Source organism: Homo sapiens, chromosome 11 (assembly GCF_000001405.40).
Source record: "Homo sapiens chromosome 11, GRCh38.p14 Primary Assembly".
Taxonomy (NCBI): Eukaryota; Metazoa; Chordata; class Mammalia; order Primates; family Hominidae; genus Homo; species Homo sapiens.
Genome location: NC_000011.10, coordinates 1,163,704 through 1,181,932, shown reverse-complemented (window position 1 = coordinate 1,181,932; position 18,229 = coordinate 1,163,704). Strand labels below are relative to the sequence as shown.

Here is an 18,229-nt window from a genome sequence, read left to right as displayed (position 1 = left end):
AGGGTCCACACATCTGTGCCCCAGAACACGTGAGTTCCAGAGCTTTCTACTCTCAGAGAAGCTCAGATGATGCCTTGGGGCCCTGAGACATCCCCCAGAAGAGGGCGAGGACATGGGGGTACCTGAGCCCTGAGCATTGTGAGGCAAGTGATAGCCATGCATCCCCGGGGCCAGCCTGGGCTGCCAGACCCCTGACACCCCAATGAGGCCAGGCCCGGGGGCTGCTGAGGGCAGGACTTGGACGCCAGGCCTGCTGGGGTGACTTGGAGGCCAGGCCCTCCCCACTGCAGGTGGCTGGTGGGGAAACAGCAGGTCATCCCCGAGCCCGACTCCCTGCTCCTCGATCCCTTCTTGATCCTCAGGGGCTGCCGCCCATGCCCAGAGCTGCTGTGACCTCAGCGTCCAGCAAGGGCAGCTGTGCCAGGCAGTGGGAGGGGGCTCACCCTGGGGCTCCTCGGCCACATTTGCCTTACCAAGCGGGGGTGTGGAGAAGGAGAAGGTGGTTGGGGGGACAGGGGTGGTGGGGCTGCAGGGGTAGACCCTCCTCTCAATGGTGCCGTTGGCCCCGCAGCGGGCGGAGATGCAGCCACCCGTGCCATCCGTCGTGTGGTAGATGACGTCCCCTGGGTGGAAGCGCTGTCCATTGTAGGTGCAGACACAGGCTATGGGGACGGAGGGCCCAGGCCCGTCAGAGGCTGGGCGCAGACAGAGACCCCCGGACCCCAGCCCCAGGGGCTGCCGGCCGCTCACCCTCAGCTTTGTAGGTGCACTCCACGCCGCGCTCCGTACAAAGGCTGGAGACAAGGAAGAAGGGCAGGCCGATGCGTGGGGGCGGCCGTGTGCCTTCCACGGGCATCCCATGCTACCAACGGCGGGCAGGGAGCAGCTCCGACAGGGGTGGAGTTCCCTGGGAACTGCATTGCACCCCCAGACTGGGGGACAGGAGGCCGGCCCCACCTGGGTCCCAGCAGTTGTCTCTCCAGCGTCAGCCCAAGGTCCCTCCCTCGTGGGGCCCCTCCAGTCGGGGGTCAGGGGAGGTGGGTGCCAGAGTGGAGCCATTACTTTCCAGGGGTGATTTTAATGGGCATCCTTCCGGTGGGGACCCTAGGGCTCCATCTCGGCCCAGCTTCCCCCTGCCGCCCCCTGAGCCCCTCGAGCCTGCTCCCCAGAGGTTGTGCTGGTTTTCTGCCCAGAGGAGCCCTACACCCAGTCCCGCCTCTGGGACTCAGGACATGGGGGTGCTGGTCCCTGAGAAGCTGATGTCACAGATGCCTGGGCCAGGACAGGACCCAAGCTTCAACTCCAGTAACGGGGAGGTCCCCAGCCCTGCCGCTCCCAGCCCCACCCAAAGCCCAGGCCGTGGTCAAATTCCCCTGCATGCTGCAGGCTCCATATTCCTCCCCCCAAAGGACTCACCAGGACTGGCAGTTCTTGTCCGAGGGCACCACTGCACCTGGCCGGTAGGACTTCCCATGGACGTGGCACCGTGGTGGCAGAGGCGGGGTTGGGCAGGTGGCCACACACTGCATCTTGTCCTCATCAAAGATGGGAGCCTCTGGTGGGCACTTGGGGTAGCAGCCTGTGGGCCAAAGAGGCCAGAGTCACAACCAGACCGAGTGTCGTCCACCTCGCTCTGGAGGGCTCCGCCCAGCCCCCAAGCAGCGGGCCTCGCCGACAGCACCAGAATGTGCTGGAAGCTGGGGCCACAGAGGCTCCTCGAGGGGCCAGGAGAAGGCCACAGGCGGCGGAGCCCAGGCCACCCTCCGACCGGCCCCAGCCCACCTTCCAGGCCCCGGACGTCCCGCAGGCAGTCTCCACGGGGGTTCCGGCAGGTGCGCAGGCAGGGCACCCCGCAGGGCTGGTAGTGCCACTCGCACTGGCCTTCGGGGTTGTAGTAGTCGCAGAACAGAGCTGCAGGGAGGAAGGAAGGGCTCGGTGGGGTCCCAGGAACTCACTCGCAGAGGCCCCGCACCCCAGGGCTGTTCTAAAGCCGCTTCCCTCCCCTGCACCTCCCGGCCATCACAAGATGGGGACAGGGGAGGGTGGGCCAGATCGGGACCCCCCAATTATCAGGGTGCCACGGAGGCTGCCACCAGAGTGGGGTCTCCAGTCAGAGCAGATCCAGCAGTGCCCGTTCCCGGCAAGGCTCCGTGTGGGCTAGAGCTGGGCAGCTCTGCTGACCCCACTGCCCAGAACGTTCTACCACGCCAGCGACCCGTCAGCCACGCCCTCCTCCCTAGAGCTGGGCAGCTCTGCTGAACCCTCTGCCCAACCATGCCAGGGACCCCTCCGTCAGCCACGCCCTCCTCCCTAGAGCTGGGCAGCTCTGCTGAACCCTCTGCCCAACCATGCCAGGGACCCCTCCATCAGCCACGCCCTCCTCTCTAGAGCTGGGCAACTCTGCTGACCCCTCTGCCCAGAATGTTCTACCATGCCAGCGACCCCTCTGTCAGCCACGCCCTCCTCTCTAGAGCTGGGCAGCTCTGCTGACCCCTCTGCCCAGAACGTTCTACCATGCCAGGGACCCCTCTGTCAGCCACGCCCTCCTCTCTGGGCCCAGGTGTTTCTGTTTATTTGGAAACCTTCCCCACCCGCCCCACACACCCCACGCATCAGCGGCGAGTGTGGTGGGGCACACGCTGCCGGCGCTTCCTGTTCTTCCCCAGGTGCCCACTCGCACTCACGGCAGATGCTCGGGGTCCGCCAGGACACACACAGGCCTACTTCATGGCAGGCCTGGGCGTAGGCGGCCACAGCCGTGCAGAAGCACTCGCAGTCACCCCCGGAGTCGCAGGCGCACGCGTCGTTCACGCAGGCCTCGTAGTACCTGGCCGGCTCCACCTGAGGGAGACGGGGCTTCAGGTTCCAGGGACCCCCCCACCACCCCGCGGGCTCTTGGGGACCGGGCCCATGCTGGCACATTGACCGGGGCCGAGTTCCAGTGGAGCTCAGGGAGGGCGAATGCCCATCCCCAAGTGGCCGGCTGGGCCCATCTGGATATCCACAGTGCCTGGGGCTTCCTCGGCAGCCCTTGGGGTTAACACCCCCCAGGGCCCCGAAACCATAGCTGACAGGTGTCAGAGCTGGAAGCCCAGCCCCTCTAGGCGAGTCCATACCAGCGCCAGTCCCAGCAGCCCACACCCTTGGTTGGCAGCTGTCTCCCAGACCCCATTCCCTTCTCCCTTCTGGGGGCTCCTTGGGTCACCATGACCCCCTTGGGCCCAGAGAAACGCCCCCCGGCCAGCATACGTGTGCGTGGCAGGCGGCGAAGGTGGGGCCGTGGAGGATGCTGCACTGCTTCTGGGCCCAGGACTTGCGGAAGGGGTTGGCCGTGCAGGGGTCCTTGGGCGCCAGGGCATCTGGGCAGGAGGGGGAGAGCTTCCAGCTGTTCCCAAACTCCAGCACGTCCCCCACCACAGACCGGCTCCGCGTGGCAAAGTCATTAACGGCGATGTCGTCGAAGTTCCCACACAGGCCGCAGACCCTGCCCTGCAGAGGCACCGGGAGAGGTGGAGGTGGGTGCAGCAAACCGAGAAGGCCAGAGCCACCCTGCCCCTAGGCCGCCTCCTCCCACCCAGGGCCACCCTGCCCTGCGGCCGCCTCCTCCCACCCAGGTGGCCAACAGCGACCACAGGTGCTGCTTCCTCCTTCCCACCTCCAGCTACACCTGGGGAGGCCCCGGGCAGTGCAGCTGAGCACCGAGGGCCGGAGCCAGAGGCAAGCCCCTCCTGGAGAAAAAGAAGCTGACGTGGCCTCGAAGGACCCGCCTAAGTCCTGACCCCGGCGCCTATGCATGGCACCTCACTGGGAGATGGGGTCTTGCAGACTGAGGTAATGAGTGGGTCCTGAATCCAATGCCTGGTGTCCTTATAAAAGAGGGAAACTTAGACCCAGTCACAGGGAGGAGGCTGCGTGAAGACGGGGCGGCGATCCAAGTGATGTGGCCACAGCCAAGGAGCGCTGGGGACCCCGGCAGATGCAAGGGGCCAAAAGGAGCCCCCCAGAGCCTTCTGAAAGAGTTCGGCCCTGTGGATGCCCTGCTGGACTTCCAGTGTCCAGGCTGCGGGCAAATCCGCCAGGGTGCGGGCCTTTGCTCTAGCCCCAGAACACTGACACCCAGCCAAGGAGTCTCCTGACCCGCTGCCCTTGCCAAGGCTCCGTCCCCCCCACTTCCCACCCCGCTTCCATCTCTGTGTTTCTCTCTGTGTCTCTGTGCCTCTCGTCTCTGCCCACCTGTTCCACGCTCCCCACCTCCAGGTTTCCAGCCGGCCCTGGCCTGGACGAGGGGCGTGGTCTCACCTTGAACTCGGGGCTGAGGTTGATGAAGATGCTGGTCTTCTTGTCCCACAGCAGCACCAGGCCAATGTCGGTGTCCACCACCAGGTAGATGCCCATCTGCCGGATGGTGTATGGCACCTCCTGGCTCTCGTCCGTCCCGATCACCTCCACCTTCCCATGGCTTAGCTTCAGCTCGAAGCCCTGCATGGCAAGGGGTCACTCAGGGCCCCCAGCAAGAACCCCAGCCCACCTGACCAGACGCTGCCATGGGAGCCTCCTGGAGGGCATGCGACCACCCAGCCTCGCTCACCCCCAGGAAAATCTTGATGGCCTTGGAGCAGGTGGTCCCTGTGGTGCCGCAGGGGACGTTCTCGGTGACAACACGAAAGGAGTCCTGGGTGCTGTCTTTCCCGCCACAGTGGTTCTGGGGAAGCAGAGGCCATCAAGGACCAGGCAGGCCCTGCCCTCCTTCCCGCAAGGAGGATGAGGCGGGGACAACCTGTGTGCACCCTGGGGCAGCCGCAGAGAGGCAGTGAGCAGCTTCGGGCCACGGGGGCCGCCGTGAGGACCCCAAACGCGCCGGCTCACCTGCACCAGCGTGTACTCGCAGTCTCCGTTGAAGCTGTAGCTCTGTCCGTCGAAGGTGAGGTAGTGGCCGTCCCCGTACACGGCGCAGGTGGCCAGGCAGGGGTCATCTGTGCACCGCCACATCCTGCTGTCACAGGTGCTGGGGGACATCTGGGGGTCAGGCTAGAGCACACACAGGGTGCCTGCCTGACTGGGTGCAGCCTTCCTACCCCTGGGGGGACCTGGCACCATAGACACGCGCCCACTGGGCCTCCCTGGCTGGGGCTGCTGGTGGCGTCCAGCCCTGAGTCTGTGCCCTGCGTTTTCCCGGGACCCCTGTGCTGGGGGCTCGCCCGTCTTTAAGGAGGGCCTCTGGTTTCCTGGGCCTGACACCCCCCATGGGCTTTGAGCCCCCGGCATACCAGGTGTTGCAGCCCACCCGGATGGTCTGGCCGGCCCGGTAGCTGGCCTCATTGTGCACGCAGGGGCAGTCCTCCGCAGTGATGCAGCCGCCCTCGCCGTCCGCCACCAGCCCGTCGGGGCACACGCAGCCAGGCACACACTGGGGGCTGTACTGCAGGGCCAGCAGACACCACTGAGTGATGGGGCAGGGCACGGGGCCTGCCAGGTCCTCCCAGGGACAGCTCACCCACACCACAGTGGAGGGACCACAGGACCAGGGAGTCCGGGAGCGCATGGGCAGGGGTCCTCTGGGACGTGGGGCAGCCCATGGCCTAATGTGTCAGAGGCTCACCACTGCCCACCCTGGGGACAGGCGCCCTTAGCAGGCAGGGGCAGATGGAGGGTCTGTCATTGGGGAGTCCTCAGGGACTTACACAGGTCATGTCCAGTGTGTGGCAGCTCTTCTGACAGCCAGCCCCTGTGTCCCCGGGCGTGGCATTTCGGCAGTCAAAGAACACCATGGGCGCAGCACACACTGGGGAGGGAGGGGCCGTCAGGGGGCCAGCCACAGGCTGCTGCGGTGCCTCAAACATGTGTTCAGGGAGGACGTGTCTGTGCCATGTGCGTGCACATTGAGTGGGTGCGTGTGCATGAGTGGGTGTGAGTGCATGTGCATGAGTGGGTGTGTGAGCGTGTCCATGAGTGGGTGTGAGCGTTGCATAACTGGGTGTGAGTGTGTGTGCATGAGTATGAGTGTGTGTGCATGAGTGGGTGTGTGTGCATGTGTGGGTGTGTGTGCATGTGCATGAGTGGATGTGTGAGCGTGTCCATAAGTGGGTGTGTGAGTGCGTGTGCATGAGTGGGTGTGGTGTGCATGAGTGGGTGGGTGTGAGTGCGTGTGCATGTGGGTGTGTGAGCGTGTGCATGAGTGTGGGTGCATGACGGTGTGTGTGCATGAGTGGGTGTGTGAGCGTGTGCATGAGTATGAATGGGTGTGTGTGCATGAGTGGGTGTGAGTGCGTGTGTATGAGTGGGTGTGTGAGTGTTGCATAAGTGGGTGTGAGTGCGTGTGCATGAGGGTGTGAATGCGTGTGCATGAGTGGGTGTGTGAGCATGTGCATGAGTGTGAGTGTGTGCATGAATGGGTGTGTGTGCATGAGTGGGCGTGTCAGCGTGTGCATGAGTGGGTGTGTGAGCATGTGCATGAGTGGGTGTGAGTGTCATATGTGCGCCCCACACCCTCCCTTCTTCCCCCTTGCTGCCTAGAGGGCACAAACCATGCCTGACACTGAGCAGCTGATGGACAACCACCAGCCCCGCTGACTTGTGGTGGGGCTAACCCTGAAGCCATTTTTCAGGATTTCTTATAGAGATGAGGAGGCTGGGGGCCACAGTGCCTCCTTTCTGGCACTCACCTGGGGCGGGGGCTTGGCCTCCGATGCAGCTCAGCTTCCCATGTGTGCAGGTGCTGTGAGGAGATGGTGGTCAGAGCCTCAGCCTGGGCCAGGAGACACGAGGGACCCCCCAGTCCACAGCGGGAGCTCTTACCAGATAGCCCCGCTGTCGTGCACCGACTCCCCATTGGGGATCATGGAGCCTCTGTGGTAGCAGGGACAGTTGCTGGCCTGCACACACTTGCCCGTGTCGTCCAGGAAGGTGCCCTTGGGACAGATGCAGCCATCCACGGGGATGAAGCCAACACTGCAGGTGATGTCCCCCTCGCTCAGGGAGCGGCAGGTGGGCTGGCAGGTGCTGACATGGTAGTGGTACGTCATTGACTTGGGGCAAGTGGTCATAGGCTTCGCTGCGGGATGCCAGGAAGAGGGGATTCTCAGGACACACAGCCCGGCAGTGGGCAGCCAGCAGTGAGTGAGCCCAGCCCTCTCGGCTACCCTCCCCTCCCCTCCTCGGCCGGGTCCAAGGCCACACTGACCTGGGCGCTCCTTGCCCTCAAGCCCAGCACAGAGGACGGGGGCCCTTAGAGCAACCTGTGCACACTGGGGGCACCCCAAGACCCGCGGCCACCCAGCGAGGGAAAGGGGCTGGGCTTGGCAGGCACTCACTGCAGACGCCGTCCCTCCAGCCGCCGAGCTGCACGCCCTTGGCGGCACAGGCGTGCACGTAGGAGGACAGCGCGGCGCACAGGCAGTCCTCGCTCCGCTCACAGTTGCAGGTGTCAAACATGCAGTTCTGCAGGGAAGGGGGTCATCGGGGCATCAGAGACCCCAGCCCACACCTGGTGGCCCCCCACGCCCTGCAGGCCACACATCCAGCAGCCAGGGTCCTCCCATCCCAGGTCTTCCTGCCCCCAGGACCCCTCTGTGAGTCCTCACAGGCATCCTGCCCCCTCAGCAGAATTGCTTGGCATGTCATGGAGCAGAACCACTGTGCAGAGCAGGGGTTACTGGGAGAACCAGATCCTTCATCTCTGTGACCCAACAGGTCCAGCCAAGACCAGCTTGCCTCAGACACAGCACATCAGCTCAGCCTTGGCCTAATTCTCATTTGGCCCCTGGGGCCAGGTGGGCAACAAACCCCTGAAGTTTAGCCCCTGGGCCTAGTGTAGGGCTGGAAGTGCAAGAAAAATGCCATAAACATGGTTAACCAATGAGTGAAGGAACGAATGAGGGAATAAGTGAGTGAGTGGATGAGTGAGTGAGTGAATGAGTGGATGAATGAGTGAGTGAATGAGTAGGTGAAGGAATTAGTGAGTAAATGAGTGAATGAGTGAGTGAAGGAATGAATGAGGGAATCAGTGAGTGGATGAGTAAGTGAGTGGATGAGTAATGAGTGGATGAGTGAGTGGGTGAGTGAGTGGATGAATGAGTAGGTGAAGGAATTAGTGAGTCAGTAAATGAGTGAATGAGTGAGTGAAGGAATGAATGAGGGAATGAGCGAGTGAGTGGATGAGTGAGTGAGTGGATGAGTGAGTGGATGAGTGAGTGAGTGAGTGGATGAGTGCGTGAATGAATGAGTAGGTGAAGGAATTAGTGAGTGAGTAAATGAGTGAATGAGTAAAGGAATGAATGAGGGAATCAGTGAGTGGATGAGTGAGTGGATGAGTAATGAGTGGATGAGTGAGTGAGTGGATGAGTGAGTGGGTGAGTGAGTGGATGAATGAGTAGGTGAAGGAATTAGTGAGTCAGTAAATGAGTGAATGAGTGAGTGAAGGAATGAATGAGGGAATGAGCGAGTGAGTGGATGAGTGAGTGGATGAGTGAGTGGATGAGTGAGTGAGTGGATGAGTGGATGAATGAATGAGTAGGTGAAGGAATTAGTGAGTGAGTAAATGAGTGAATGAGTGAGTGAAGGAATGAATGAAGGAATGAGTGAGTGAGTGGGTGAGTGGATGAGTGAGTGAGTGGATGAGTGAGTGAGTGGGTGAGTGAGTGGATGAGTGAGTGAGTAATGAATAAGTGAAGGAATTAGTGAGTGAGTAAATGAGTAAATGAGTGAAGAAATTCGTGAATGAGTGAGTAAATGAGTGAGCGGATGAGTGAATGAGTAAGTAGATGAGTAGGTGAAGGAATTAGTGAGTGGGTAAATGAGTGAATGAGTCAGTGAAGATATGAGTGAATGAATGAGTGAGTGAGTGAGTGAAAGAGCTAGTGGGTGAGTGAGTGAGTGAGTAAGTTAGTGAATGAGTGAGTGAATGGGTGAGTGGGGGGGCGAATGGGTGAACGGGTGAGTGAGTGGGTGAATGGGTGGGTGAGTGGATGAGTGAGTGAATGGGTGAGTGGGCGAGTGAGAGAATGGGTGAGTGGGTAAATGGGTGAATAGGTGAGTGAGTGGGGGGGCAAATGGGTGAATGGGTGAGTGAGTGGGTGAATGGGTGGATGAGTGGGTGAGTGAGTGAATGGGTGAGTGGGTAAATGGGTGAATGGGTGAGTGAGTGGGTGAGTGAATGGGTGAACGGGTGAGTGAGTAGGTGAATGGGTGAGTGTGTGGGTGAGTGGTGAATGTGTGAATGAGTGAATGGGTGGGTGGGGATGTGGGGAATGGAGCTGGACAGACAGACTGGGTTCCAGCCCCTGGTGCCCATCACAGCCTAGAAAGGTTAGTCCTGCCTGCTGAGCCCACCAGTGCCCTCCCAGCCCTCCTGGAGGCAGCCGTGAGGCTCAGTGGCTGGAGCCCCACCGGGCCAAGAGGCGGCAGATGTTACCGAGTAGTAGGTTCCCGGCTTCACGGCAGCATGGCACCGGCCGAAGGGGCCGTCGGCATCGGTCAGCTGCGAGCACCAGTGCTGAGCATACTTCTCTGTGGACAGAGGAGGGATAGGGTTAGGATTAAGATCAGGCAGCACACTCATCCCACCCAGCTTGGCCTCTGGTGTGGGGTTTGGGTGGCCAGCTTCTCTGGGCAGTCTGATGTTGGGCCCTTCATCCTGCTACACACTCAGCCTGGGTGGTGTGGCGCCCTCCCCGAGGAAAAGCTCCCCCAAACGCAGGGTACAACATCCAGAACCGAGGCTTCTCTCGTTTCCTGCATGTCCCACCCAGCCCCTCACAGCCTCTCACAGTGCCGCCTTCCAGGGACGCTAGTGACCACCACTGTGGACAGACAAACCAAGGCCCTTCTGGCCCCTCCACTGGGCTCACTGGACCCTGGCTTCCCAGGCTGCAGGAAGAAGGCCAGAACCAGCAAATGGGATCCCACCTCCCCACGGCTGGCGCCCAAGCTCTGAAGGCGAAGTGAATGACTGAGTGAGTGAGTGAGTGAGTGAGTGAGTGAGTGAGTGAGTGAATGAGTGGATGAGTGAGTGAGTGAGTAGGTGAGTGGGTGAATGGGTGAGCGAGTGGGTGAGTGGGTGAATGGGTGAGTGAGTGAATGGGTGAGTGGGTGAGTGAGTGTTGAGTGGGTGAGTGGGTGAGTGAGTGAATGGATGAGTGGGTGAGTGGGTGAATGGGTGAGTGGGTGAGTGAGTGTTGAGTGGGTGAGTGGGTGAATGGGTGAGTTAGTGAATGGATGAGTGGGTGAGTGAGTGGGTGAGTGGGTGAATGGGTGAGTGAGTGGGTGAGTGGGTGAATGGGTGAGTGAGTGAGTGGGTGAGTGGGTGAGTGAGTTCGTGAGTGGGTGAATGGGTGAGTGAGTGGGTGAGTGGGTGAATGGGTAAGTGAGTGGGTGAGTGGGTGGTTGAGTAGGTGAGTGAGTGGGTGAGTGGGTGAGTGAGTGGGTGAATGGGTGAATGGGTGAGTGAGTGGGTGAGTGGGTGAGTGAGGGGGTGAATGGGTGAATGGGTGAGTGGGTGAGTAAGTTGAGTGAGTGAGTGAGGTGAGTGAGTGGATGAATGGGTGAATGGGTGAGTGAATGGGTGAGTGGGTGAGTGGGTGAGTGAGTGAGTGAATGCGTGAGTGAGTGAGTGAGGTGACTGAGTGAGTAGGTGAGTGAGTGGGTGAATGGGTGAGTGAGTGGGTGAGTGAGTGGGTGAGTGGATGAGTGGGTGAATGAGTGAATGGGTGAGTGGGTGAGTGAGTAAGTTGAGTGAGTGAGTAAGTGAGTGAGTGTGTGAATGGGTGAATGGATGAGTGAGTGGGTGAGTGGGTGAGTGAGTGAGGTGAATGAGTGGGCGAATGGGTGAGTGAATGGTTGAGTCGGTGAGTGTGTGAATGGGTGAGTCGGTGAGTGGGTGAATGGGTGAGTCGGTGAGTGGGTGAGTGAGTGGGTGAATGGGTGAATGGGTGAGTGGGTGAGTGAGTAGGTGAGTGGGGTGAATGGGTGAGTGGGTGAGTGAGTAGGTGAGTGGGTGAATGGGTGAGTGGGTGAGTGAGTGAGGTGAGTGAGTGGGTGAGTGAGTGAGGTGAGTGAGTGGGCGAATAGGCGAGTGAATGGTTGAGTCAGTCAGTGGGTGAGTGAGTGGGTGAATGGGTGAATGGGTGAGTGGGTGAGTGAGTGAGTGAATAGGTGAGTGGGTGAGTGGGTGAGTGGGCGAGTGAGTGAATGGGTGAATGGGTGAGTGAATGGTTGAGTCAGTGAGTGGGTGAGTGAGTGGGTGAGTGGGTGAATGGGTGAGTTGGTGAGTGGGTGAGTGAGTGGGTGAATGGGTGAATGGGTGAGTGGGTGAGTGAGTAGGTGAGTGGGTGAATGGGTGAGTGAGTGAGTGAGTAGGTGAGTGGGTGAGTGGGTGAGTGGGTGAGTGGGCGAGTGAGTGAATGGGTGAATGGGTGAGTGAATGGTTGAGTCGGTGAGTGGGTGAGTGAGTGGGTGAGTGGGTGAATGGGTGAGTCGGTGAGTGGGTGAGTGAGTGGGTGAATGGGTGAATGGGTGAGTGGGTGAGTAGGTGAGTGGGTGAATGGGTGAGTGGGTGAGTGGGCGCGTGAGTGAGGTGAGTGAGTGGGCAAATGGGTGAGTGAATGGTTGAGTCAGTGAGTGAGGTGAGTGAGTGGGTGAATGGGTGAATGGGTGAGTGAGTGGGTGAGTGGGTGAGTGAGTGAATGGGTGAATGGGTGAGTGGGTGAGTGAGTGAATGGGTGAATGGGTGAGTGGGTGAGTGAGTGAATGGGTGAATGGGTGAGTGGGTGAGTGAGTGAATGGGTGAATGGGTGAGTGGGTGAGTGAGTGAATGGGTGAATGGGTGAGTGGGTGAGTGAGTGAGGTGAGTGAGTGAGTGGGTGAGTGAGTGAGGTGAGTGAGTGGGCAATGGGTGAGTGAATGGTTGAGTCGGTGAGTGGGTGAGTGAGTGGGTGAATGGGTGAATGGGTGAGTGGGTGAGTGAGTAGGTGAGTGGGTGAATGGGTGAGTGGGTGAGTGGGCGAGTGAGTGAATGGGTGAATGGGTGAGTGAATGGTTGAGTCGGTGAGTGGGTGAGTGAGTGGGTGAGTGGGTGAATGGGTGAGTCGGTGAGTGGGTGAGTGAGTGGGTGAATGGGTGAGTGGGTGAGTGAGTAGGTGAGTGGGTGAAAGCGTGAGTGGGTGAGTGGGCGAGTGAGTGAGGTGAGTGAGTGAGCGAATGGGTGAGTGAATAGTTGAGTCAGTGAGTGAGGTGAGTGAGTGGGTGAATGGGTGAATGGGTGAGTGAGTGGGTGAGTGGGTGAGTGAGTGAATGGGTGAATGGGTGAGTGAGTGAGGTGAGTGAGTGAGTGGGTGAGTGAGTGAGGTGAGTGAGTGGGCGAATGGGTGAGTGAATGGTTGAGTCGGCGAGTGAGGTGGGTGAGTGGGTGAGTGGGTGAGTGAGTGAATGGGTGAATGGGTGAGTGAGTGAGGTGAGTGAGTGAGTGGGTGAGTGAGTGAGGTGAGTGAGTGAGTGGGTGAGTGAGTGAGGTGAGTGGGCGAATGGGTGAGTGAATGGTTGAGTCGGCGAGTGAGGTGGGTGAGTGGGTGAGTGGGTGAGTGAGTGAATGGGTGAACGGGTGGGTGAGTGGGTGAATCCATTCCCCACGTCCCCACCACTCCACCCTGTGCAGGGGTAGGCGGTCAGGGCGGATGTTGACCAACAGAGACTTGTACCCTTTCTTTGACCCTGAAGCAGATGCCCCACATTCCTGAAGCTCCACATAAGCTGGGTTGGGCGCCCACCATGAGCCTGTCCTTGGGCCCCTTCGTGAGCCACCCCACCCGGCTCACAGGCACACGCAGGGCCGGCCTCGCTGCCTGCAGTGCCAAATGGAAGCGGGTGAACCAGCGCCAGGCGGCCAGCACAGAGGCGAGCCGTGGACACCCGTACCATTCTCCACGCTCAGAGAGCAGGGGTCCTCGAAGCTGTTCCTGATGTTGGGGCAGGCGGCCTGGGTCTTGAAGGTGTTGAAGAAGGCCGCAGCGGTGGCCTCCACCACCCCACTGAGGGTCCGGAAGTCATCGGCCTGGATGCTGTTGAAGTTCCCACAGAGACCTGGGGGCGGGTTAGGCAGGTTGAGGACCATGCGCCCTGGCCAGAGTGGGTGGGCTCCAAGCCCAGAAGGCAGCCCTCTTACCGCAGGTCTGCCCACGGAGCTTGGGCGCCAGCTGCATGAACAGCTGCATGGTGGGCACCAGCTGCAGGTTCAGCTGCAGGCCCAGGCTGGTCTGGGCGATGATGAAGAAGGTTGAGGGTCTGAAGATGGTGACGTTGGCTGGGGACACAAAGGACAAGGGTTTTGCTGGGGGCTGTGGGGCGGGACCCCAGGCAGCCCCGGGGTGGGGAAGAAGCCACTGCCCTCACCTGCAGAGATGGGCAGCTGGGTGTAGATCTGGTTCAGGAACACTTCCCCACTGGCCTTGATCACCACCACCTGAGGGCAGCCAGACAGATGTGTGAGCGCGGGGCAGGCTTGCGGCACCTCAGCCCCGCGGAGGCTGTGAAATGTGCCTGCAGGTGCCTAGGAGGCCTTTCCCTGCAGCTGCGGCTCCTACAAGGTGGCCTTGTGCTCGCCTGATTTTCTGAATTTTCTGCGAGGACCATGCCTTTCATTCTTCAGTGAAAACCAAGGTTATTAACTAAACATAAATTGACTTCAGTGGAGAAGCCATGCTGGCCGCAGGTGCGCCCAGTCCCTCCTTCCTGGGGCCCCTTGGGTCAGGTATGGCGGCCCGGGAGGCCCGGCCCTGAGCTTCTCCCTTTAGGGACAGTCACGTGGACCCATAAGTAATGGACACAGCCAGTGTTGCCAGAGGGTCCCCGCCTCTCGCTGTTCATGCCAGGGATGAAGGGCTTGGGCAGAGGTGACTTGCAGAAGAGACAGGCCCCTTCCCTCTTCCCGGGGTTTGCCCTGCCAGGCTCCACTCACCGTCTGCGCCCCATCCAGGCTCAGTGTCACGCTCTTCAGGCAGGTCTCGCTGTCCGTCAGCCCGCACCTGCGCAGCTCAGCCAGTACAGTGAAGGCACTGCTGTCACAGGGCTGCGGAACACGACACACCAGGGGTCCTCACACTCCATCCAACGCCCAGCCCACCTGGCCCTGCCAGTCCACCCGGCTGTGCTCCTCTCCCTCACTAGAAAACCCCACTCCACCATCCCAGTCCCCGAGAGGGAGGTGTGCTAGGAGGCCCCCAGGTGTGGACACCCAGGCACACACAGAAATCTGCATGCACCCTGAGGAGGCCACACTCTGCAACGCCAACTATAGGACCCTCTGGGAAAGACAGCACTCAGAAGGTGCAAATGCCAGCAGCTGCCAGGGGCTGGGCGAGAGAGGGGTGAGGAGCTCCAAGGGGTTTCAGGGCAGTGGAGCTGTCTGCGTGAAACTTCCTGGCAGGAACAAGACACTGCACATCTGTCTTAAACGTGGAATTTCACCACCACGAGGGTCGCTGATGTCAACCATGACCTGGGAGGTGAGGGTACCAGTGCAGCCTCCACCCCAGCGCAGGGTATCATCATAGGGAAACTGTGTATTGGGTGCAGGGTCTCATTGTGGGAGACTGTGTGTTGGGTGCAGGGTCTCATCGGGGGAGACTATGTGTTGAGTGCAAGGTCTCATCTTGGGGAGACTGTGTTGGGTGCAGAGTCTCATCTGGGAGAGACTGTGTGTTGGGTGCAGGGTCTCATCTTGGGGAGACTGTGTGTTGGGTGCAGGGTCTCATCGTGCAGAGACTGTGTGTTGGGTGCAGGGTCTCACCATAGGGAGACTGTGTGTTGGGTGCAGGGTCTCATCGTGGGAGACTGTGTGTTGGGTGCAGGGTCTCATCTTGGGGAGACTGTGTGTTGGGTGCAGGGTCTCATCTTGGGGAGACTGTGTGTTGGGTGCAGGGTCTCATCGTGCAGAGACTGTGTGTCGGGTGCAGGGTCTCATCTTGGGGAGACTGTGTGTTGGGTGCAGGGTCTCATCTTGGGGAGACTGTGTGTTGGGTGCAGGGTCTCATCGTGCAGAGACTGTGTGTCGGGTGCAGGGTCTCATCTTGGGGAGACTGTGTGTTGGGTGCAGGGTCTCATCGTGGAGAAACTGTGTGTTGGGTGCAGGGTCTCATCGTGGGAGACTGTGTGTTGGGTGCAGGGTCTCATCTTGGGGAGACTGTGTGTTGGGTGCAGGGTCTCATCTTGGGGAGACTGTGTGTTGGGTGCAGGGTCTCATCGTGCAGAGACTGTGTGTCGGGTGCAGGGTCTCATCTTGGGGAGACTGTGTGTTGGGTGCAGGGTCTCATCTTGGGGAGACTGTGTGTTGGGTGCAGGGTCTCATCGTGCAGAGACTGTGTGTCGGGTGCAGGGTCTCATCTTGGGGAGACTGTGTGTTGGGTGCAGGGTCTCATCGTGGAGAGACTGTGTGTTGGGTGCAGGGTCTCATCGTGGAGAGACTGTGTGTTGGGTGTAGGGTCTCATCGTGGGAGACTGTGTGTTGGGTGCAGGCTCTCATCGTGCAGAGACTGTGTGTCGGGTGCAGGGTCTCATTGTGGAGAGACTGTGTGTCGGGTGCAGGGTCTCACCATAGGGAGACTGTGTGTTGGGTGCAGGGTCTCATCGTGGGAGACTGTGTGTTGGGTGCAGGGTCTCATCGTGCAGAGACTGTATGTTGGGTGCAGGGTCTCACCATAGGGAGACTGTGTGTTGGGTGCAGGGTCTCATCTTGGGTAGACTGTGTGTTGGGTGCAGGGTCTCACCATAGGGAGACTGTGTGTTGGGTGCAGGGTCTCCTCTGGGAGAGACTGTGTGTTTGGTGCAGGGTCTCATCGTGGGGACACTGTGTGTTGGGGCAGGAGTACTTTGTGCTCAATTTCCTTGTTAACCTAAAACTATTCTCAAGAGTAAAGTCTGTTAAATAAACAGCCCAAGGTGCAGAGGGCCCAGTGCTGGGTGAGGCCCAATGCTGGGTGGGTGCTGGAGGCTCTGATCTGCAGCCTTCATGGCCCTGTGAGGACTAGCGCTGGGGAGCTGGAGTGCTTCCTTGAGGTCTCAACATCGGGGACCCCCAAGGGTGACCCCAGGGGCAGCAGTGACATGCAGCCAAGCTGGGGGAGCCTGTGGGAGGCTGGCCATGGGCCCCCTCTGTCCGGCGAGCACCCCAGGCAGCCAGGCCGTACCTTGGTCAGCACATAGCTGCAGTCGCCGTGCACCGTGTATTGCTTCCCGTCAAACGTTGAGAAGTGGGCACCTCCAAGCACAGAGCAGGTACCCGGGCATGGAACCTCCTGGCAGCTCCACCGGCCTCCGGAGCAGGTGCTGAGAGCAAGAGATGGTGCCACGTGGGTGCCGGCCCCAGGAGACCAGCCTCCAGCCTCCGCGTCAGGAGGCTGACCGGGTCTCACCCCAGGCCTGCCTACACCGTAGCCCAGACGAGGGAGCCTGCCGGCCTGGGTTGCAACCCCCAGCAGGTCTGTCCCATAGCACATCCTTGGTGGCCTGGAGGGGGGCTGGGACCTACCAGTTGGTGCAGTCTGTGGAGTAGGTGGCCCCTGGGGCATAGGCAGCCCCGTTGTAGACGCAGGCACACTTTGACACAGGGACACAGCCGGTCTGGCCGATGTCGTCAAGCACCGTCCCTGCAGGGGTCAGGCAGGCCTATGACGGGCGCCTGCTGTGTCCACGCAGTGGGCGTTGCAGGGGAACAACATGGCGGCCCCACAGCGAGCTGGGGCCTCAGCCAGCTCCAGGGGCCCAGGACGGGGGCCTCAGCCAGCCTCAGGGGCCCGGGACAGGGGCATCAGCCAGCCTCAGGGGCCCGGGACAGGGGCCTCAGCCAGCCTCAGGGGGCCAGGACAGGGGCCTCAGCCAGCCTCAGGGGCCCAGGACAGGGGCCTCAGCCAGCCTCAGGGGGCCCAGGACAGGATCCTCAGCCAGCCTCAGGGGCCCGGGACAGGGGCCTCAGCCAGCCTCAGGGGCCCGGGACAGGGGCATCAGCCAGCCTCAGGGGGCTCAGGACAGGATCCTCAGCCAGCCTCAGGGGCCCGGGACAGGGGCATCAGCCAGCCTCAGGGGGCCCAGGACAGGATCCTCAGCCAGCCTCAGGGGCCCAGGACAGGGGCCTCAGCCAGCCTCAGGGGCCCGGGACAGGGGCATCAGCCAGCCTCAGGAGGCTCAGGACAGGATTCTCAACCAGCCTTAGGGGCCCAGGAGAGGGGCCTCAGCCAGCCTCAGGGGGCCCAGGACAGGATCCTCAGCCAGCCTCAGCGGCCCAGGACAGGGGCCTCAGTCAGCCTCAGGGGCCCGGGACACTAGGACTGGGGTCCTTCTTCCGAGGCTTGGCCATGGGAGCACAGCCCCCTAGTTGTCGGGGTGCACCTGTGTTTCCCAGGGGCGGGGGAGCCTCACCCTCAGGGCAGAAGCAGCCGGCCACACAGTGGTCCTCACAGGCCCGGGAGTGCTCCTGGTTGGAGCAGGTGTCTGCGCAGGGGGAGCGGCACTCGTGGTACTGCATGTTGTTGGGGCACTTCTGGGCTGCGGGAGGCAGAGAGAGGGCTCACGTCTGCCTGCCCCTGCCCTCCCTGCCAAAGGGGTTGGGGGACAGGGGGCTGGGACACTCACGGCAGAAGTCAGGGCCCCGCCAGTCCTGGGGCAACCCCCCTGCATGGGTGCACTGCCGGGAGTACTCGGCAAGGGTGTGGCAGACGCAGCTGAGCAGGTCGGTGTCTTCACAGAAGCAGAGGTCTTGCCTGCAAGCCTCCAGGTAGCTGCCGACGTCCACCAGGGCCACGCAGCCAGAGAACAGCTGGCCGTGCAGGAGCTCCTCACAGATGCCCTAGGACAAAGGCCACAGCCCGTCTGAGTCCTCGGTGGGGGATCTGGACCGGTTCCCAGGCTCACAACCCCTCCTGCTCAACCTGCTGGGCCCTCTGTTCCCTCCAAGGCTTACAAAGCCAGTGGAGCAGTTCCTCGGGGGTTCAGGGACAGGGTCCTGACACTGGTCCGTGGGGTCGTCCATCTTCTGCAGGTTCCCGAATTCCATGGGTGTCAGCTTGGTGTCTGCGGCAAGCACAGAGGCGGGCTCTGCCTGCAGGTCCCGGTACCCGTCAGCCCAGCACCCGAGCAGCAGAGCCCCCAGGGCCGGGTCCCTGGGGTGGGGTTAGAAGGGCCATCGGTGGCTCCTGCCCCATCTGGATGCCTGAGTTGTCCTGACTGCACCCGCTTGGCCACCCCATGC

The 18,229-nt window shown here is 61.0% G+C and overlaps 1 protein-coding gene across 1 annotated transcript in view; it reads right to left on the bottom strand.

Annotated features, from left to right (window-relative positions):
• MUC5AC (mucin 5AC, oligomeric mucus/gel-forming) overlaps positions 1-18,229 on the bottom strand; it is a 43,186-nt gene that overhangs the window by 19,206 nt on the left and 5,751 nt on the right. The window contains exons 7-30 of the mRNA NM_001304359.2: positions 17,942-18,051; positions 17,614-17,827; positions 17,401-17,526; positions 16,514-16,631; positions 16,173-16,311; positions 13,946-14,056; positions 13,381-13,450; positions 13,154-13,291; positions 12,907-13,071; positions 9,410-9,504; positions 7,311-7,437; positions 6,796-7,051; positions 6,663-6,715; positions 5,682-5,782; positions 5,268-5,419; positions 4,867-5,005; positions 4,589-4,702; positions 4,300-4,479; positions 3,250-3,489; positions 2,685-2,841; positions 1,783-1,911; positions 1,417-1,579; positions 751-794; positions 474-662 (exon numbers count right to left, since the gene is read on the bottom strand). Of these exons, the coding sequence (NP_001291288.1) occupies positions 474-662; positions 751-794; positions 1,417-1,579; positions 1,783-1,911; positions 2,685-2,841; positions 3,250-3,489; positions 4,300-4,479; positions 4,589-4,702; positions 4,867-5,005; positions 5,268-5,419; positions 5,682-5,782; positions 6,663-6,715; positions 6,796-7,051; positions 7,311-7,437; positions 9,410-9,504; positions 12,907-13,071; positions 13,154-13,291; positions 13,381-13,450; positions 13,946-14,056; positions 16,173-16,311; positions 16,514-16,631; positions 17,401-17,526; positions 17,614-17,827; positions 17,942-18,051 (3,330 nt within the window). The remainder of the gene's footprint in view (positions 1-473; positions 663-750; positions 795-1,416; positions 1,580-1,782; positions 1,912-2,684; positions 2,842-3,249; positions 3,490-4,299; positions 4,480-4,588; positions 4,703-4,866; positions 5,006-5,267; positions 5,420-5,681; positions 5,783-6,662; positions 6,716-6,795; positions 7,052-7,310; positions 7,438-9,409; positions 9,505-12,906; positions 13,072-13,153; positions 13,292-13,380; positions 13,451-13,945; positions 14,057-16,172; positions 16,312-16,513; positions 16,632-17,400; positions 17,527-17,613; positions 17,828-17,941; positions 18,052-18,229) is intronic.